The sequence below is a fragment of the Homo sapiens genome, chromosome 4 (assembly GCF_000001405.40).
Source record: "Homo sapiens chromosome 4, GRCh38.p14 Primary Assembly".
Taxonomy (NCBI): domain Eukaryota; kingdom Metazoa; phylum Chordata; class Mammalia; order Primates; family Hominidae; genus Homo; species Homo sapiens.
This window is the reverse complement of record NC_000004.12, coordinates 138,407,963-138,424,733: the sequence shown is the minus strand read 5'-3', so window position 1 is coordinate 138,424,733 and position 16,771 is coordinate 138,407,963. Positions and strand designations below refer to the sequence as shown.

The 16,771-nt window shown below is 37.9% G+C and overlaps 1 long non-coding RNA gene across 1 annotated transcript in view; it reads right to left on the bottom strand.

Moving 5' to 3' along the window:
- Positions 1 to 389: 389 nt before the first annotated feature.
- Positions 390 to 16,771, bottom strand: part of LINC00499 (long intergenic non-protein coding RNA 499) — a 114,634-nt gene continuing 98,252 nt past the window's right edge. Inside the window, exon 3 of the long non-coding RNA NR_051987.1 lies at positions 390 to 686. This is a non-coding gene — a long non-coding RNA (long intergenic non-protein coding RNA 499). The remainder of the gene's footprint in view (positions 687 to 16,771) is intronic.

The following is a 16,771-nucleotide window of genomic DNA, read 5'->3' as shown; positions in this document are numbered from 1 at the left end:
AGTCGAGTATGTTGTCATGGAGACAATGAAGAGAGGTTAAACATGTTTCTGTACAGCCATTCATCTTGAGAGATGCTTCTAGAGAATAAATTCTGGCCCTGGTACCACCACCACGTCATGCCTCCAAGACAGCACACCATGGCTGGCCCTCTGCCATTGGACGCTAGATGCTCTTGCCATTCCTAGAATGGATTCGATCATTAACTCCAGATGCAATTCCCTGGTGGTTGTATCTTATTGACAGAGGTTAGTTCATGTTCTTTTAACTTTACCTCCTAGAGTCCGGGAAAGCAGGTAGCTGGCCTTTTTTGTTTCTGTAATTAGTGGCAGGGTACAACCTCTCACAATACTCAACTGATGGCTAACTCTCACATTTAGGAAGGAGAGGTCAGATGAAGGGTATAAAAAAAACAATTGGAAATATCCACTACGTTAATCTTAAAAATCATTTTATCTCAGAAGCTTTCCTTGGTCCTGGTTTTTATCTTGGCAGTTGATCTTGGAGTTGATTGCTTCCTCTGGTTAACACTGGGTCTCATATGCATCAGTGCTACTCCATTTATCCATCAGATATTTTATGTAGATTCCCACTTGCATCATGCATTGTGTGAGGAGTTGGGTATGTGAAATAGAAAAGATGCAGTTCCTGTTCTCCGGAAGCTTAGAGTCTGAAGCAGGAGGTCCTACTGTGAATACAAAGGTTGAGTTTCAGGGTCACTCACTTGTCTTGGTCCCATTCAGGGCTCCAGAAGGGGCCCTAGGAATGGGTTCATATGGTCATACATTTAAAACTATTTTGCAAAAGTAAGCCAATTAGCCTGCATTTGGTTAAGAACTTTTGACATCTCACTCTGACTCCTCTGAAAATTCTCTTCCTCTTGGGTGGTGTTTAAATGGCTACGGGCATTTTTGCATTCAGCTAAGGGGGAGTTGAGTTGGGATACAATTTGTTTGGGTTTAGCAGGATATAGTTACTTGGTTTGTAGATACTTCCATAAATTGTTCAATTATAGTGAGCAAGGAAATCTGCTGAGAAGGGTCTGGTGAGGCCTTGGAGACTGCTCTGATCCCAGGATGACTCTTACCCTCAAAAGGCAGGAAACTGGGAGCTTTTAAGGTGAATTCTTTTAGTACTAAAAAAACTATAGCTAATTGTCTCTTCCTTTCTCAGGAACCTCCCTTTGAAAGGCCGTATCTGCTTGAAAGTCATTTTCCCAGGGTGCTATATGCAGCAAAGATCAGGGAGAAAGACCCTGTTCCTGTCTCCCAAATCTTGGTGCTAACTCTGCTCAGTGGGAGGTGCTGGCATCTGAGGCCAGAGCCATTCACTCCCCATCATCTGGTGGCTTCCCTCTCTTCCCCCTGCACTGCCACCTCCACAGTTTTAGAGGCTGTGGACTACTTCAGTGGACAGTTTTGTCCTTTTTTGCATTTCTCATTCTTTGCTTGGATAGGGAAAACTTAGATTGTCTTTGGAGGCCGTGGGTAATGGGATGATTTGAACTTTAAAGTGGTTCATGCCTTGCAACTTGTTTTTAATGACATAAGGACACTTGAAAGAGAAAACAAAACACTACGTAGATTAAAAAAAAAAAACTTTGTTCAAAATTATTTATAAAGATCAAATACTCCATTTGAAATGCATTTTGGAAAAATGTTCTGTAATGATTCAATAAACTCTTCTTTCATCATCATTAGATTTAAATTTTAGGGAACTAAGAGTATATTCAGAAAAAGGTGGAATATTAAAAAAAAATTGGATGGGTGCTGTGGCTCAGGTCTGTAATCCCAGCATTTTGGGAGGCCAAGGTGGGCAGATTGCCTGAGCTCAGCAGTTTGAGACCACCCTGGCAACATGGTAAAACCCTGTCTCTACTAAAATACAAAAAAAAAAAAAAAATTAGCCAGGCATGGTGGTGCATGCCCGGGAGGCTGAGACATGAGAATCACTTGAGCCTGTGAGCCTGGGAGACGGAGGCTGCAGTGAGCCAAGATCAAGCCACTGCATTCCAGCATGGGCTACAGAGTAAGACTCTATCTCAACAACAACAACAAAAAATAATAAAGTATGATATTTAATCATATCCAAAGCAGTAATTGATTTATGGGAAGAGATACATTTTGGGTAGAGATAATAAATAGGGTTTTAGATTTTTGATAATCCAGTTAATGAAGAGGAATGAAGCATATGAAAACATTGAAAAAGATTTAGATTTCTTGGCATTTTGACATAAATATTGACATAGATGGAAATAAAATCAAACTTATGCACAGCTACAGTGAGACCATCAACATCAAACTAGTTAAAAAGAGTCAACAATCTGGAGTGTTTAAGATTATTATTATTATTATTATTATTATTATTATTATTATGTGTTTTATTGCACAGCCAAACTCAAAAGAGCTTCACTTATATAGCAGTTTGGCCCAATTTCGCAACAATCCTAAAAAGGTACATTACCAATAATGAATAGTGAAGCTGAAAGAAACTTTTCTAAATTATTGTTGCTTATTAAAAATTTTTTTAAAATTTAATTGTGCTAAAAATACATAACATAAAATTGATGATCTTAACTATTTTTAAGTGTACAGTCCAGTAGTGTTAAGTCTATTCATATTATTGTGCAACTGATCCATATCATTGATTTTAATTATAAAATAAAATTGAGAAAATATTGATTTTAGAATTTATGTTACAAAATAATTGTCATATGAAAGACAACCAAGGCTATTTGTATTGTTATAGGAAAGTTTTACCAACTCCTAAGTGTAAGTATGTGGAAGTTCCTCCCATGTGACCCTGTGCCTAACACAGATGCCTGGCATCTTTGAAACTGTACTAGGTGTCTTGTAATGGAGGGTACAATGATCAGTTCTAAGGACTTTGCCATGCTGTCCTTAACCAATCAGAACTTGTTGTCTAGGAATTCCCCCCAATATAGAAGATATTTCTTTTGCTGTTCAGCTCTGAGAGTCCCTCGGAATTTGTTTCTTGCTTTATTAGGCTCTCCTTTGCCTTGCAAGCAAAGTAATGGTCTTATTTTATTTTCAAAGTTGATCTTTAGTTTGTCCTTCAAGAACTTTTAAACTTTGTAACTTATTTTAATAGCTTTACTTATTCAAAACACACACTCATTTTTGTAGCTAATTGTTTTCATAATTTTATGCTCTTTCTAAGCCCCACTTCCCTCTGCATAAAGTCCAAGAGATTTTGATCTTCCCAGTCTATGGAGTCATGACTGTTTTATGCTTGTCCATTAAGGGTCTGCCATGACCCCGCACTGTGTTTGGAGGTAGCTCTTTATTATTCAGGTTTTGGAATAAGAAGAACCTGTTTACTCCTAGTGACATAAATAAGGTGCTGGGTTCTTCCAACCTCACTTTTTCTTTTGTTTCTTTCTTTCCCACTTCCTTATTTTGTAAGGTAAATAAACTATAAGTGACTTTTCAGGGTCACATATAATTAATTTCAGAGTTAGGCCTAGCACTTAGTTTGCTGTCTCTTATGCTGATATTAGTTTCAGCATTTCTATCTATTCCTCCACTAAAATATTACAAACATATGCAAATTTCTTTCTACAGAGCTTAGTACTTACCCCAAGCTCAAACTATTAAGACTGTATTAAAATCCTCAGCCTCTTTACATAAAATATACATTATTATAGAGAAACTCACCTTCAGTTTTAATAATCTCCTTACAATTAGATTCTAAAAAGGGCATGTAAGGCAAAAATCACACGAAGTTAAATTTACCAAATTACCCTTGAAAGTCCCTTAAACAGTCCATAACAAGTGAGATGCTCAAGAGACACAGGAAAACTGAGCCCAGGTTGGGGTAAGAGCAGATTCACATTTCTCATCCCACACTCACTCTGGGGCAAATGCTCCCTGACAACGGCAATGATCCCTATGGCACTCTTCAAATAGATACCCAGCTATGATAGGTTTATATTCAAATTAACAATATTTCTTTTTCTCCACTTAGTCCCTCCTGAATCAGACCATATTAAGGATAAAATTGGCATATGGTCCCAATTGAATCCTTAGGATTTTATGTAGCATCTAATTTGACTAGAATAGAAGTCTGTGTGGAAGAATAACTTGGCCAGGTTAACAAAGTTGAATTGCAATTATTTCTCCCAAATCCAAACAAAATCTCATTTTTTTCCTTCTCAATCATTTAGATAACTGTGATCTTAGAAACTGGTCTATGATTATTGGCATAACTGGATGTCAACTCTAGCTGTTTGCCATCTGAGCCTAGGCGTATCTCCATTAATTCTAAACTCGCAATTATCAATGTGTGTTAAAGAGGCATTTGGGCATTTGGGGGTATGTGTCAGCTATGAAAATTACTTTTGTGCTGAGATAGAAGTAATCATTGTATAATAACAAAATGAATACTTTAAATGATTATTTAAAATTTTTGTGTAATGTGGAAATATTTCAGCATTTGCCATTTTTTTCTACAATGGTTGATTTGCTGCATTTATTCTTTATTTGTCTTCCCTGTGAATACATTTATTGCCAGTGTTTTTAGTTGTATTGTTAGCTTCATTGCATAATTAGTGGTATTCAGCTGCTGCTTTTTAGCCTGGAAGAACTATAATTAGTTTTCATTCACTGGTGACATTTATGCAGTATCAGGGTCATTGTCAAAAGGTATAAAGACTATAATTCTATTGCTAGACTTTAAATCCCTAAAAATGTACAAATCTATTTTATTCATCTCATGTAATAAAAGAAGATATGAGCTACAACTGATAGAATTTCATTCTGCTTGGAAGAAACGGATATTATAGGATTTAAATGAGTTATGTGTTTGGGTACAAAGTATCAAGTTGTTTTCTGTCCCAAAGCATGAAATTCTATTCCCACTATTTAGTGGGTTAATTTGGAATAACTCAAGTCATGTTTAAGAGATCTGTTGTTTTAAGCCAGGCATGGTGGTTCATGCCCATAACCCCAGCACTTTGGGAGGCTGAGGCTGGAGGGTGCTTGAGCCCAGGAGTTCAAGACCATCCTGGGCAACATGTCGAAACCTCATGTCTGCAAAAATACAAAAATTAGCTGGGCCATGGTGATACACATGCCTGTAGTCAAAGCTACTTGGGAGGCTGAGGCAGGAGTAGAAATGTGGGCTTGTACAATCTAAGTCAGCCTGAGTTCAAAACTCACTTCATTCACTAAATAGTCCTCAAAAGGTTAATTGTGAAGATTAAATTCAATAATGTTTGTAAAGCATTTAAGATAGCATTCATAACCATCAAGTCATTCACAAGTTTTTTTATGGATGGTCAAAAGTCTCTGTCCAGGAGGCTGGAGGTCAGAAGGCCTTATTATAGGGTCAAAGAGTTCTGGAATTCTGAAGAGGGAAGACACAGATTGAAGTCAGTATCAAATGAAAGAATGTGTCTTGAAGAGTGTTTAATATTGGCTGAAGAAGTATAAATCTAAATCAGTAGAGATGTTGTTAAAATTTTGCCACAGCCTATGTGTTCCAGTTTCAGCCTTTTCCCTTCTTATTGCTACAAAAGTTTTTGGCAGTGTGTGTATGTGGTAGTGGTGGTGTATGTATGTGTGTGCGTGTTGCCTGGTGTATGAGGTGTGTATGTATGTGTGCATGTGTGTTTTCTGTTGTGTGTTGTATGGCATGGAATAGAGTATGAGTGTATGTCTGTGTGCTTAGGGTAAGGAGTTCTGAAATCATTGGGGACATCTTAGGAATCACCTTATCTTCAGTGGAGCAATGCTCTGCACATCGGTCCGACGAATCCAGTCATTCCAATAAATGAGGTTTCTTTCATTTAAATCATCGTCCACTTTTGGGACTCTTAAATATTGGCTATATGAACCAGTATAGTCGCTCTTCAATGTAAGTTTATGTACCTATAATGAATTCAGAGTTTGAAAACAAAAGTTCTGGCTGTGAAGCAACCTTGGAGAGAGCAAGAATTAGGAAAGAAATATTAAAAATGCCAAATGCCGACAATCTGATAATACGAGTCCTACCTACACTTAGGTAGGTAGCCCTTGTTCAGTGTGTCAGGCAGTTACAAGGCTTTTATACACGACTTCATTTAATCTTCACAGCAACTCTGTGTGGCAAAAACTTTTATTATCCCTGTATCATAGATGATGAGGAAACAAAGGCAACATAAAGAAGCACTGGAACTAGGCACGTGATATCTACTCTTCATTGGTACTCCACACTAATTTATGTAGTGCTTGTAGGAAATTTTTCACCCCCTTTCTGCTATGTTTGGATGGCCGGGGATGTTCATTTTTTAGCTTACCACTAGCCAATAAATGAGAATTAATCTGTAAGACTTCTTTATCATGTAATTTTTTTCAAATTAAAATATGATTTGTTTTTTAATCCCTAAAAATCTCTTGAGTTAGTTACACTATTGAGATATTGTTATGGATGACTTTTATACAGAAATAAAGAGAAATAGGCAGTTTAAACAATTATTTGGATTATTCAAGCAAAATAATATAAATCTGTTGTTGAGGAAAACATGTTGAGATTTTGGATTGATTTATGAAAATCAAAATCACTGAACAATTAATGTAATTCTGTGTTAGCAGATCTTGAAGTCAAGGTACTTTGCTCTGAAAACACTTCTTATATGTTTTTTTCTTTAATTTTACTGCTTTAATTACATACATTTAAAATATGTTGCCAGGAATGTAAAGGTTCTTGTTTTTCTTTCTAGATGTGGGGGCCAGAGCTGTCAGAGTTGGAAATTGTTTTAATTAGGGAAGAGGAGTTTGGAAATAAGGGGGCAAAGTAACAGAGAAAAACAGAGTAGAGCATAATTTTAGCTGCTATTCTTCAACTAAATGATAATTGGCTAAAAGCTAGTGAATTGATTGTTTATTAAAATGACTCATCTTTAGTAGGATAAAATGTCTATAATTAAACATTGAAGGTCTTGCCAAAGCCCTTGAAGGAATTATCATGGGCTGAATACAGGTAGTCAGTGGGCCTCAACTACACGCAACATGAGTCGCCTTTCTTTCCCCTTTGTGTTTTGTTTTGTTTTGTTTCGTTTTTTTGAGATGGAGTTTTGCTCTTGTTGCCCAGGCTGGAGTGCAATGGGGCCATCTCAGCTTACCACAGCCTCCGCCTCCTGGGTTCAAGCAATTCTCCTGCCTCAGCCCCCTGAGTAGCTGGGATAATAGGCATGCACCTCCACGCCTGGCTAATTTTGTATTTTTAGTAGAGATGGGGTTTCACCATGTTGGTCAGGCTGGTCTCAAACTCCTGACCTCAGGTGATGCGCTCACCTCGGCCTCCCAAAGTGCTGGGATAACAGGCATGAGCCAGCGCACCCGGCCCCTCTTTGCATTTTCTTTGGATAATATCAAACTATAGTTTTGTGTGCAGACAAGGAGTGATTAAAGTCAAACATTGGGTTCCAAGCATGGAAGGCGGTGTGGTACAGCAGGAAGTGCACTAGACTTGATATAAGAATGCCTGAATCCTTATTCTTGCCCTATCACTTATTGTTTGTGCTCCCTTGGTCAAATCAAGGCTTTCAAATGGGATAATACATGTGCTGCCAACTCTACAGAACTGTTACAAAGGAAGAGAAAATAAAGCTAGCTATTTCAGAAGCATTTTGAAAAACTGTTAGAAACAGAAGTAGAGGGCATTGTGGTGGAGCAGGCATCGGGATGGGAATGGTAAAATGCAACAGAGACTGTTGCACCAAGGAGATAAGAAGTTACTCTAGGCTGGCAGTTTAGTCCTGACTGCACATCCCTGGGGGAGCATTTAAAATATACGAATACCTACTCCCACGTCTAGGGTTTTTGATTTAAATATTCTGGGGCAGGCCCAGCCATATATAAATTATTTTCTCTCCAAATTTCCTAGGTGATTCTAAACAGCAGTCAAGGATAATATCCCTGCTGTCAGGTTTCTGAAACAAATTTTACAATTTGGATTAAATGAACACTTTCACATTTTTAGTTTGAAAAATTAAATCTATCCTGTTACAAATAGGTTTAATGTAAATGAACTTCATGAAGATACAATGTTGACAAAAAAGAGGGACCTTTAATTAGAAATACTGTCAAAGATATAGAAAATATCTTTCATAGTTGGTAGTTCTAAAACAAAGTGAAACTACATTTACTTAACTTTTAAGATAATTTTTCACATTAATGAGCCTTAGAAGCCAGTTTCATGGAGCTCCAATTACTGAAAGGGCTTTGAAAGTGTGATATCATACATCATGAGAAAATGTAATAACTCTATAAAAAAGAGGTTTGAGGTAATAAAATTATCATAAACAACTTGATTCAGTTATGCTATGGAACATCTAGTGATTAAAAACTTCCATCCCTCTAGCTTCACAGTTTAAATTCAATTCACTTATATTTTTGCACTTTTGCTAATTGTATTATTTGAAAATTCAATGATATGTAAAATATAAAGGCAGCAATTTAAAACTGAATGTATATCTGCTCTAGGATGTCTCAATTTGCTACTTAATTTGAATAAATTTGGGGACTGTTAGAAAGTTGCTAAGAAGAATTAGTTTAACACATTTGGGACTATTTTCCCTCAAACATAATGATGCTTAAAATAGAAAAGTGCTTGAAATTATGAAGTTTTATGTTCTGGCCTCCCATGGACTCCAAAATGAAACTTCTCTGTAAATGACCATGACCTTGTTAACTGAGCAGGGAAATTCTTTGGATGGGACCACAGATTATCTTGCCCAGTTTGCAGCAGAAGAAACCGAGGCCAGGAAACACTAAGTGACATTCCCAAAACCACATAGCTCATTAGTGGCAGAAGTTGGACAGATCTCTTAGCTCTCAGCCTTCTCTGTCTCATTCTAGAGAAGCTTGATAAATATTGATTGGCTATCATCTGGGATGGACATTGCACTTGGCAATGTATGGCTGGTTTTAATCTCATAAATGTACCAGAATCGTAGGAGAATCCCCTCACTGATGTGTCTATACTTCTGGCAGCTGATAAGTTGAAATTTACCTAGCTGTTATTTGGGGTCTTTTGAGTAGTCTTAAACTATCTATACAATAATTTAAATATTGGGGTGTGTTTGAGATTCCAGCAGCATTCTCTGAAGAAATGACTTTAGCTATCGATAACCTAATCAACCTGAAGCCAGTGAAGGTTATGGTGAACTACAGTGCAAGTGAAAGTTTGAAGCATCATATCATTAGAAAGTTTATTCATATCAAATTTGACTCACTGCACATTTGATATCACTGATGATCTGATAATTGTAATACCCATGTCAACCAGAATAAAAGTTATGTCACTATCTTCATACTTTCAGATGTATTACCCTGTTGGTTCATATTTCACCTCTATTTGGCTTCCCAAACTCCCTACTCCCAAAGGAGGCTGCATAGCACTAGCCCTGCCATAGCTATTATGATACCCAATTTACTCAGTTGAGAGAATAGATTACACTGGTGGACAAAGATAGAAAAATAATAATCAAGCATAAAATATGTGCTTTCCAATTCTGTGTGTACCTGTTTTATAATTACTAGTGGCTACGTGGGACATTTTATGTCACCCAAAATGTGTCAAGAGAAATGCAAAAAGTATGAAAAAACTAGGACTACAGTATTTTAAATCTGAGTATTTGAAGATACATTGTTATTCTTTAAGAAATTGGACACGTCTTATCAGTAAGTAATGAATTTGTAGTGCCTTGATTCACAGGTATGTAAGGAAAATTAATGCAATGGGTAAAAGGTGAGGCTAAGGGAAATACAAAGTCTATTCCAAATTACTTTTATCATGTGAGCCTTCAAAGGTAATCCATTTTTATTTTCTAGCATGGTTCCAATTCTTTTATTTTCAGAGATTGGCACCATAAGCACTGCAGGCTTTAGTAGAATGAGTTTCCTACTCCTCTCAGAGCTTCAGGTAGAGGAGAGTTGACAGTGGACTTTCAGGCTCGGCCTCAGGCTTGCATCTTGACAAAAGAGCTAGGTACACCAGGCTTTAAGGTTGCCATCTCCTGTGCATTTTTTTGCCATGACAGAACTGTGCCAATTTTAAATAAATTATTTGGAATTAGGATTTTCCTCTGACAGAGATTGGGATGTGGGATGGCAGCATGGCTATGAAGGATCATTAGTAATTTTAGATAAGCTTTGTTAATCACTCTATTTGTCTTCTGGCCCAGTCTCCAAAGACTTTTCTCTGAATCCCAGGGAAAGGAGGCTAATGGAGAAGGTGAGCCAGAGAAGGCATGTACATGTGCAACCAGGATCTGTGGTCTCATGGTGGTGTTGCCTAGTAACTGAGCTTAACCACTGGAACTCAGATGAATTACAGAACCACTATGTCCTCAGCACAGAATGTATCTCTGCAGGCCAGAGTTCCTGGTTTCAGTTGGACTAACAGGCCCACCAAGAGAAGCAACAGCTGTCATGGGAATACAATCATATGTGCAGAGAGCTACTTGAGGGAACAACAGAGGAAATCGAGGATACAAATCAGGGAAGATGGTGGCCACAATCATGTGGTAAAATCAAGCGAAAGAACCTGGGAAGCGCCTTGATCTAGTTGCAGAAGGTTGTATTATGAATTTCCAGCTACTTTCACTCTCTGTGCTGAGCCAGAGAATAATTTTTACTGGGTCAGTTATGCTGTCCTGCTTGATGTGGCATTGGTAAATACAAGTTACAGGTTTATTTGTTTTTATTTTTTATTTTTTTGAGACAGAGTCTCACCCTGTCATCCAGGCTGGAGTGCAGTGGTATGATCTCGGCTCACTGCAACCTCTTCCTCCTTGGTTCAAATGATTCTCGTGATTCAGCCTCCCGAGTAGCTGGGATTACAGGCATGTGCCACCACACCTGACTAATGTTTGTGTTTGTAGTAGACATGGAGTTTTGCCATGTTGGTCAGGCTGGTCTTGAACTCCTGGCCTCAAGTGATCCACCTGCCTCAGCCTTCCAAAGTGCTGGGATTACAGGCATGATCCACTGCACCAGGCCTATTTGTATACTAAAGGTAATTTATTGTAGTTAGTTACAGAGTTATTAACAGGTAAAAGTTTTTGGATTTACAATTACTATCATCATTATTATTTATCATCTCTTGACTGTAATACTTTCTTGTGGCAATGATACTGATAATAAAAAATACAGTCAAATGATAGAAATCCATGAAATAAAGCTGGACAATGGAAATCAATGAAACTCTCTTTTCAAATCTCTTTTCAAATAGTCTGGGTAAATATTTTCCAGTAGGCTCTACTTTGAAGTTCAGCCAGGATGTTCTTAAGTAAACCATTCTGGGATACTTTGCAGAGAGTTTGCTTTTAGATATTGTTTGATACCAAAACATATTCTTATCATTTGCATACCAAGAGAGTTTTATTTTATTTTCGAATAGGAAGCAGCTTCCACAATCAGAAATTCATAGCACATGTTCAGTCAAGAACTCAACTAACACAAATTTCCTTAATATTTTACTTCCTTGAACAAAGATCATGACTCCTTTGTAGATTTTCAAACAGTACTGTGACCTCTTTTTAATGTTATTAGTTTCCCTTTCAAATAGCATTTTGAAGTTTGTTAACTTGTGAGTACCAGGGCCATTTGAGTGTCACGAGGCCGTTCCTCTCCTGTGGACCACAAAGTAGCTCTTAGAGAGGGAGCGGTTATGATTTGCCCTCATATCAAAGTGAGCCATGCAATTGATGTGGGAGCACTGAGGTATGGTAGTTGCCTAGCTTTTGGTTGGTGGGCTCGTTCTTATTATTTCTTCCTTCAGTGAGTAACTGATATAGTTTGAATACACGTCCCCATCAAATCTCATGTTAAATTGTAATCTCCAGTGTTGGAGGTGGGGCCTGGTGGGAGGTGTTTGGATCATGGGGGTGAATTCCTCATGAATGGCTTGGGCCATCCCCTTGGTGACAAGCCAGCTCTTGCTCTGAGTTCACATGAGATCTGGTTGTTTAAAAGTGTGTGGCACCTCGCCACCACTCTCTCTAGCTTGCTCCTATTTTCAACATGTGATGTGCCTGCTCCCCCTTCACCTTCCACCATGACTGAACACTCCCTGAGGTTTTACCAGAAGCCAGGCAGATGGCGTTGCCATCCTTCCTGTAAAGCCTGCAGGACTATGAGCCAATTAAACCTCTTTTCTTTATAAATTATCCAGTGTCAGGTATTTCTTTATAGCAATGCAAGAATGAACTAATACAGTGACAAAACTCAAAATTCCAAAATTACAAATTTGCATGCTTCCCTTCTTTCTTCCCAAACATCTTCAAGCCAAAAGATTTTAAGATTGTAAACAGGAACCTGTATCTAACTCCTTATAGGCACATAGGATGATACCCTTGAATAATTTTAAAAAGTACTTCTTAATCCCCCTGTCCATGATTTATTGTTTGAAAATTAAAATTTTACAAATGAAAGCAAAGCTTTGTGGGGCCATTATAGACAATATCAGAGAGCTCAACCATCTGCTCAACTCTGTAAAATTTCAGAAACATTTAGGTGACATGTTGTAGGAATACCCTGCTGGTGGAGTTCATGACAAAGGCTTCCACTGATGCCTCCTACTAAACCAAATTTAGTGTGTTTTATGGCCCAGAAAATGATCCTGGTCAGGGAAACTGGTTGTGTAAATGCCTTAGAAATTAAAGGAACAATTCCCAATACAAATGTTGCTCACAATGCAAATGTGCTCAGTAAAACCCAAGACCAGACCATCTTGGGAAACCTGTAAGATGTGCTTAAATAGTCACTTACTACTAAGCTCACAAGTGTTGGATTAGCAAGTCTGCTTGAAACCAGAGTAACAATTACAAAGGGAACAATTTTGCAAAAATGAAAAGTACTTTGAAATGATCTGGCATTCAAAACATTTTATATTATTGTTGGCCCGGCATGGTGGCTCACGCCTGTAATCCTAGCACTTTGGGAGGCCAAGACAGGCGGACTGCCTGAACTCGGGAGTTTGAGACCAGCCTGGGCAACACAGTGAAACCCCGTCTGTACTAAAATACAAAAATTAGCCGGGCGTGGTGGCATGCGGCTGTAGTCCCAGCTACTCAGAAGGCTGAGGCAGGAGAATTGCTTGAATCCGGGAGGTGGAGGCTGCAGTGAGCCAAGATGGCGCCACTGCACTCCAGCCTGGGCGACAAAGCAAGACTCCGTCTCCAAAAAATATATATATATATATTTTATAGCAAACATTAAATACAACATCTGCCATTTTGTGATCTTGATAGTTTACATATTCATATTCAGATAACCCCAGGCTTGATGCTTCTGTTTAATTCAATATTTGGAAACATATTCATTAATGAGGGAAATAGTAGCAATACAGGACAACACCTACTGAGCACTTACCACACACCTGACACCGCCCTAAATGGTTCCTGTGTGTTACTTTGTTTCCTCTTCAAAACAACCTTTAGAGGTAGGGGCTATTGTTACCCTCATTTTATCTATGTGGAACCTGGGGCCTAGAAAATTTCAGTGAGGTAACCTGCTAAGGGTCACATAATTATTCGAGGCAGAGTTGAGTTCTCAATCGAGCCATTCTGACTCCAGCGTCGGTGGTGTTTACCATATCGCTTCATTCATTAAGTGCCTACCTTAACCTCTGAGCTCACAGTCTAGTGGGGTGGAAACAAACGCTAAACAAATACATAAATACATGTCAGGGGTTTGTAACTGTGATAAAAAAAAAAATAAAATGGTGGGGCCGGGTGCGGTGGCTTATGCCTGTAATCTCAGCACTTTGGGAAGCCGAAGCGAGTAGATTGCCTGAGCTCAGGACTTTGAGACCAGCCTGGGCAACACGGTGAAACCCTGTCTCTACTAAAATACAAAAAATTAGCCGGGCGTGGTGGCAGGCGCCTGTAATCCCAGCTACTCGAGAGGCTGAGGCAGGAGAATCGCTTGAACCCGGGAGGCAGGGGTTGCAGTGAGCCAAGATGGCGCCACTGCACTCCAGCCTGGGCGACACAGCAATACTCCATCTCAAAATAAATAAATAAATAAATAAATAAGTAAATAAATAAAATAAAAGGTAAAGGGATAGAGAGTAAAGGTGTTATTTTATAATGGGTTGTCAGGGAGGTCCTCCCTGATAAGGTGAGATTTGTGCCAAGACTTGAATGAAGGAGCAAACTACATGATATTTGGCAGAAGAGTAAGGACAGAGGCAGGGGGAACTGCAAGCAGAAACACTTGAGCTGCAGGAAGCCAGAGTGACTGGAGCAGTGTGGGCAAGAAGCCAGGGGCAGTGGAGGGGACAGAGAATGAGAAGGACTGGTGGCCAGGTCACCTAGTTATGGCATATTATAACTGGTACATGCACCCTTCACACATGTTTTTAGAACATCATCACTAAGATGAGTAAGTTCAATGTCCATCATTATTCTGATTATTCAATTGATTCAGTTGTGAAGACTCCCTGTCACAGAAAGGGGATTGTAAATGTGAATCTCTTCAGCAGGAACTGGTTCACTTAGTTGGATTTAAGTACTGAGAGTTTGATGTTGAATAAACTTCACTCTGGAAAATTGTTCAGGGGTGACCAAACATCCTAGTTTGCCTGGAACCCTCCTAGTGTTAGCACCTAAAGTCCTATATCCTAGGGAACTCTTCAGTCCGGTACAAATGGGGATGGTTGGTCACTGTCCACGGTTTCTTAAAAGTGTTCCTTAGGAAACGAAGGAGAAAACAGTGGCATGCCATCTGGCTTTCCACATTGAACCGATTCACTTCTTGGTCATAGTTATACCTTTTATTCTGTAGATAAACAATGAAAGTGAAAACAGAGAGACTTGCAAGTGACCTTATAAGTTTAAGAAAAATAACCTCAAGCTTCTTTCTCCATTGTCAAAGCTTCAAAATACCACTGAAAGTGCATATTTATAAACAAGATACTCCCAAAGACAATCTCAGATCATTCTAAAAGGTAAGACATGTTTCTGACCACATTTCCCAACTGCAGCACTTTAAAATAAAAAAGAAAAGGAGGAAAATGAAGGTAACAACTCATGTTTTAACAGGTAACAGAGAAAAATTGTTGAATATCTCAATTAGTGCTACAAAGACATTTGCTTGAATTCAAAACTATTTCTGATGCTTAAAAAAACAAATTATGAGTAGATCCAAGCTTCCATAGCAAACTAGCTAGCATTTATTATAAACCAATACAAAGCAATTGAAATTTCACTATTGTAAAATTAGGCATTATATCTGAATAATCAACTATAACTAGCATTAAACTTTGTTACAAATAATTTTTGACATGAAAATGTGAATGACATGATAGTAAGTAAAAAGTAGGATAACAAATGTATATGCAATACAAATTTGACTATTTTAAAGAACAAGAATAAACCAGCAACAAAAAAACCCCAAAATTATTTTTCTGCTTTTTAAAAATTACACTTTTTAACATATTCCACGATGTGCCCCTATTGTTTTTAAAATTTGGAAGATAAAGTTAAGGCAATTTTTTTCAGAACAATTTTAGTTTTCTGATAGGACTTCCAAAACTGTAAAATTACTGCTAAGGAAATAAGAATGATCAAATTGCAGGTGAAAAATTTACGCTTACCCAAATGATCAAGGCAAATGCTTCAAACATGGAAGTGATGAAACACAGCAGTTTTATTTTGATGCAGAATTGGAATGGAGGAAACAAAATCTCCCTTTAGTCGAGCAAGTCACAAGGAAGAGGGAGAATAAAATGTGGACATTCAAAGTTACTTGATAGTAAGCTTTCAGTCCCTCTTTTGGAGAAGTGGTCACAACAAGGCAAAAGAAGAAAGAACTTTGAAGAGCTAGAGAAACTCAATAGGTTATCCCATGTCTTGGAAAGTGGTGATTTGCTTCAGGAGGGTGGATTTGGGGTTTGTCAGAGGCCTTTGTGATTCAATATTAAATGGCCCCTTTATTTCTTTGAATTGTTATTTGTTCTTTGTAGCCCTCTATATTTACATATTAGGGTAAACAGGGCATGGAGAAATATGTGGTCCTTATTTATAGCATTATACTTTCTTTCTTTTTTCTATTACTTTCCTTGTTCTTTACTGAAATATAATTCCTCATTGAAACACTATAACAAAAAGAATAAAATAATCTCCATTTTAGATTACTTTGTCTTTACAGTTGTATGCTCACTGACTTGTTGGATCCTCTTGATAACTTAGGAATGGCATTGAATTAGTATTATTTGAGCTTCTTAAAGATACATAGGCCGTGTCAGAGTAAACATCTTGCACATCTGAAATGGGATGGAGCAAGACTTATACCTCTCACGAAGGCCCATGGCCCCTAGGATTGTCCTATTTCCTACAGTGTACCACTTTGGAGGTGTGATTCCCAGAGAAAGAAAATACAATTAGAAGTTTCTATTTAAAACAAAACAGAGCAAATACCCACATTTCTTGCCCATACATAGGCAATATTAAGAAATAGATCACCTGTTTCAATGGAGTTAAATAGACATTAGATTGGGAGAACGTGCCTACTTGGTCTATTTTGAGGGATTTACATGTAATTTTGGAGTTGCAATATTATTTTAAAACTTTCAAAGCACAAATCTTTTTCTTGAATAATATTGCATCCTTCTTTTGATTTTCATTTATTCATTAAAAAAATAAATGCTACGGATTAGCCAGATGGCTTTCAAATCAACAGTGAACAGTCTCACGAAACTACTATTTTCCACCTTAGTTTCCCCAAAGGAAATTAAAGCTATAATCTTATAAAATATTCTACA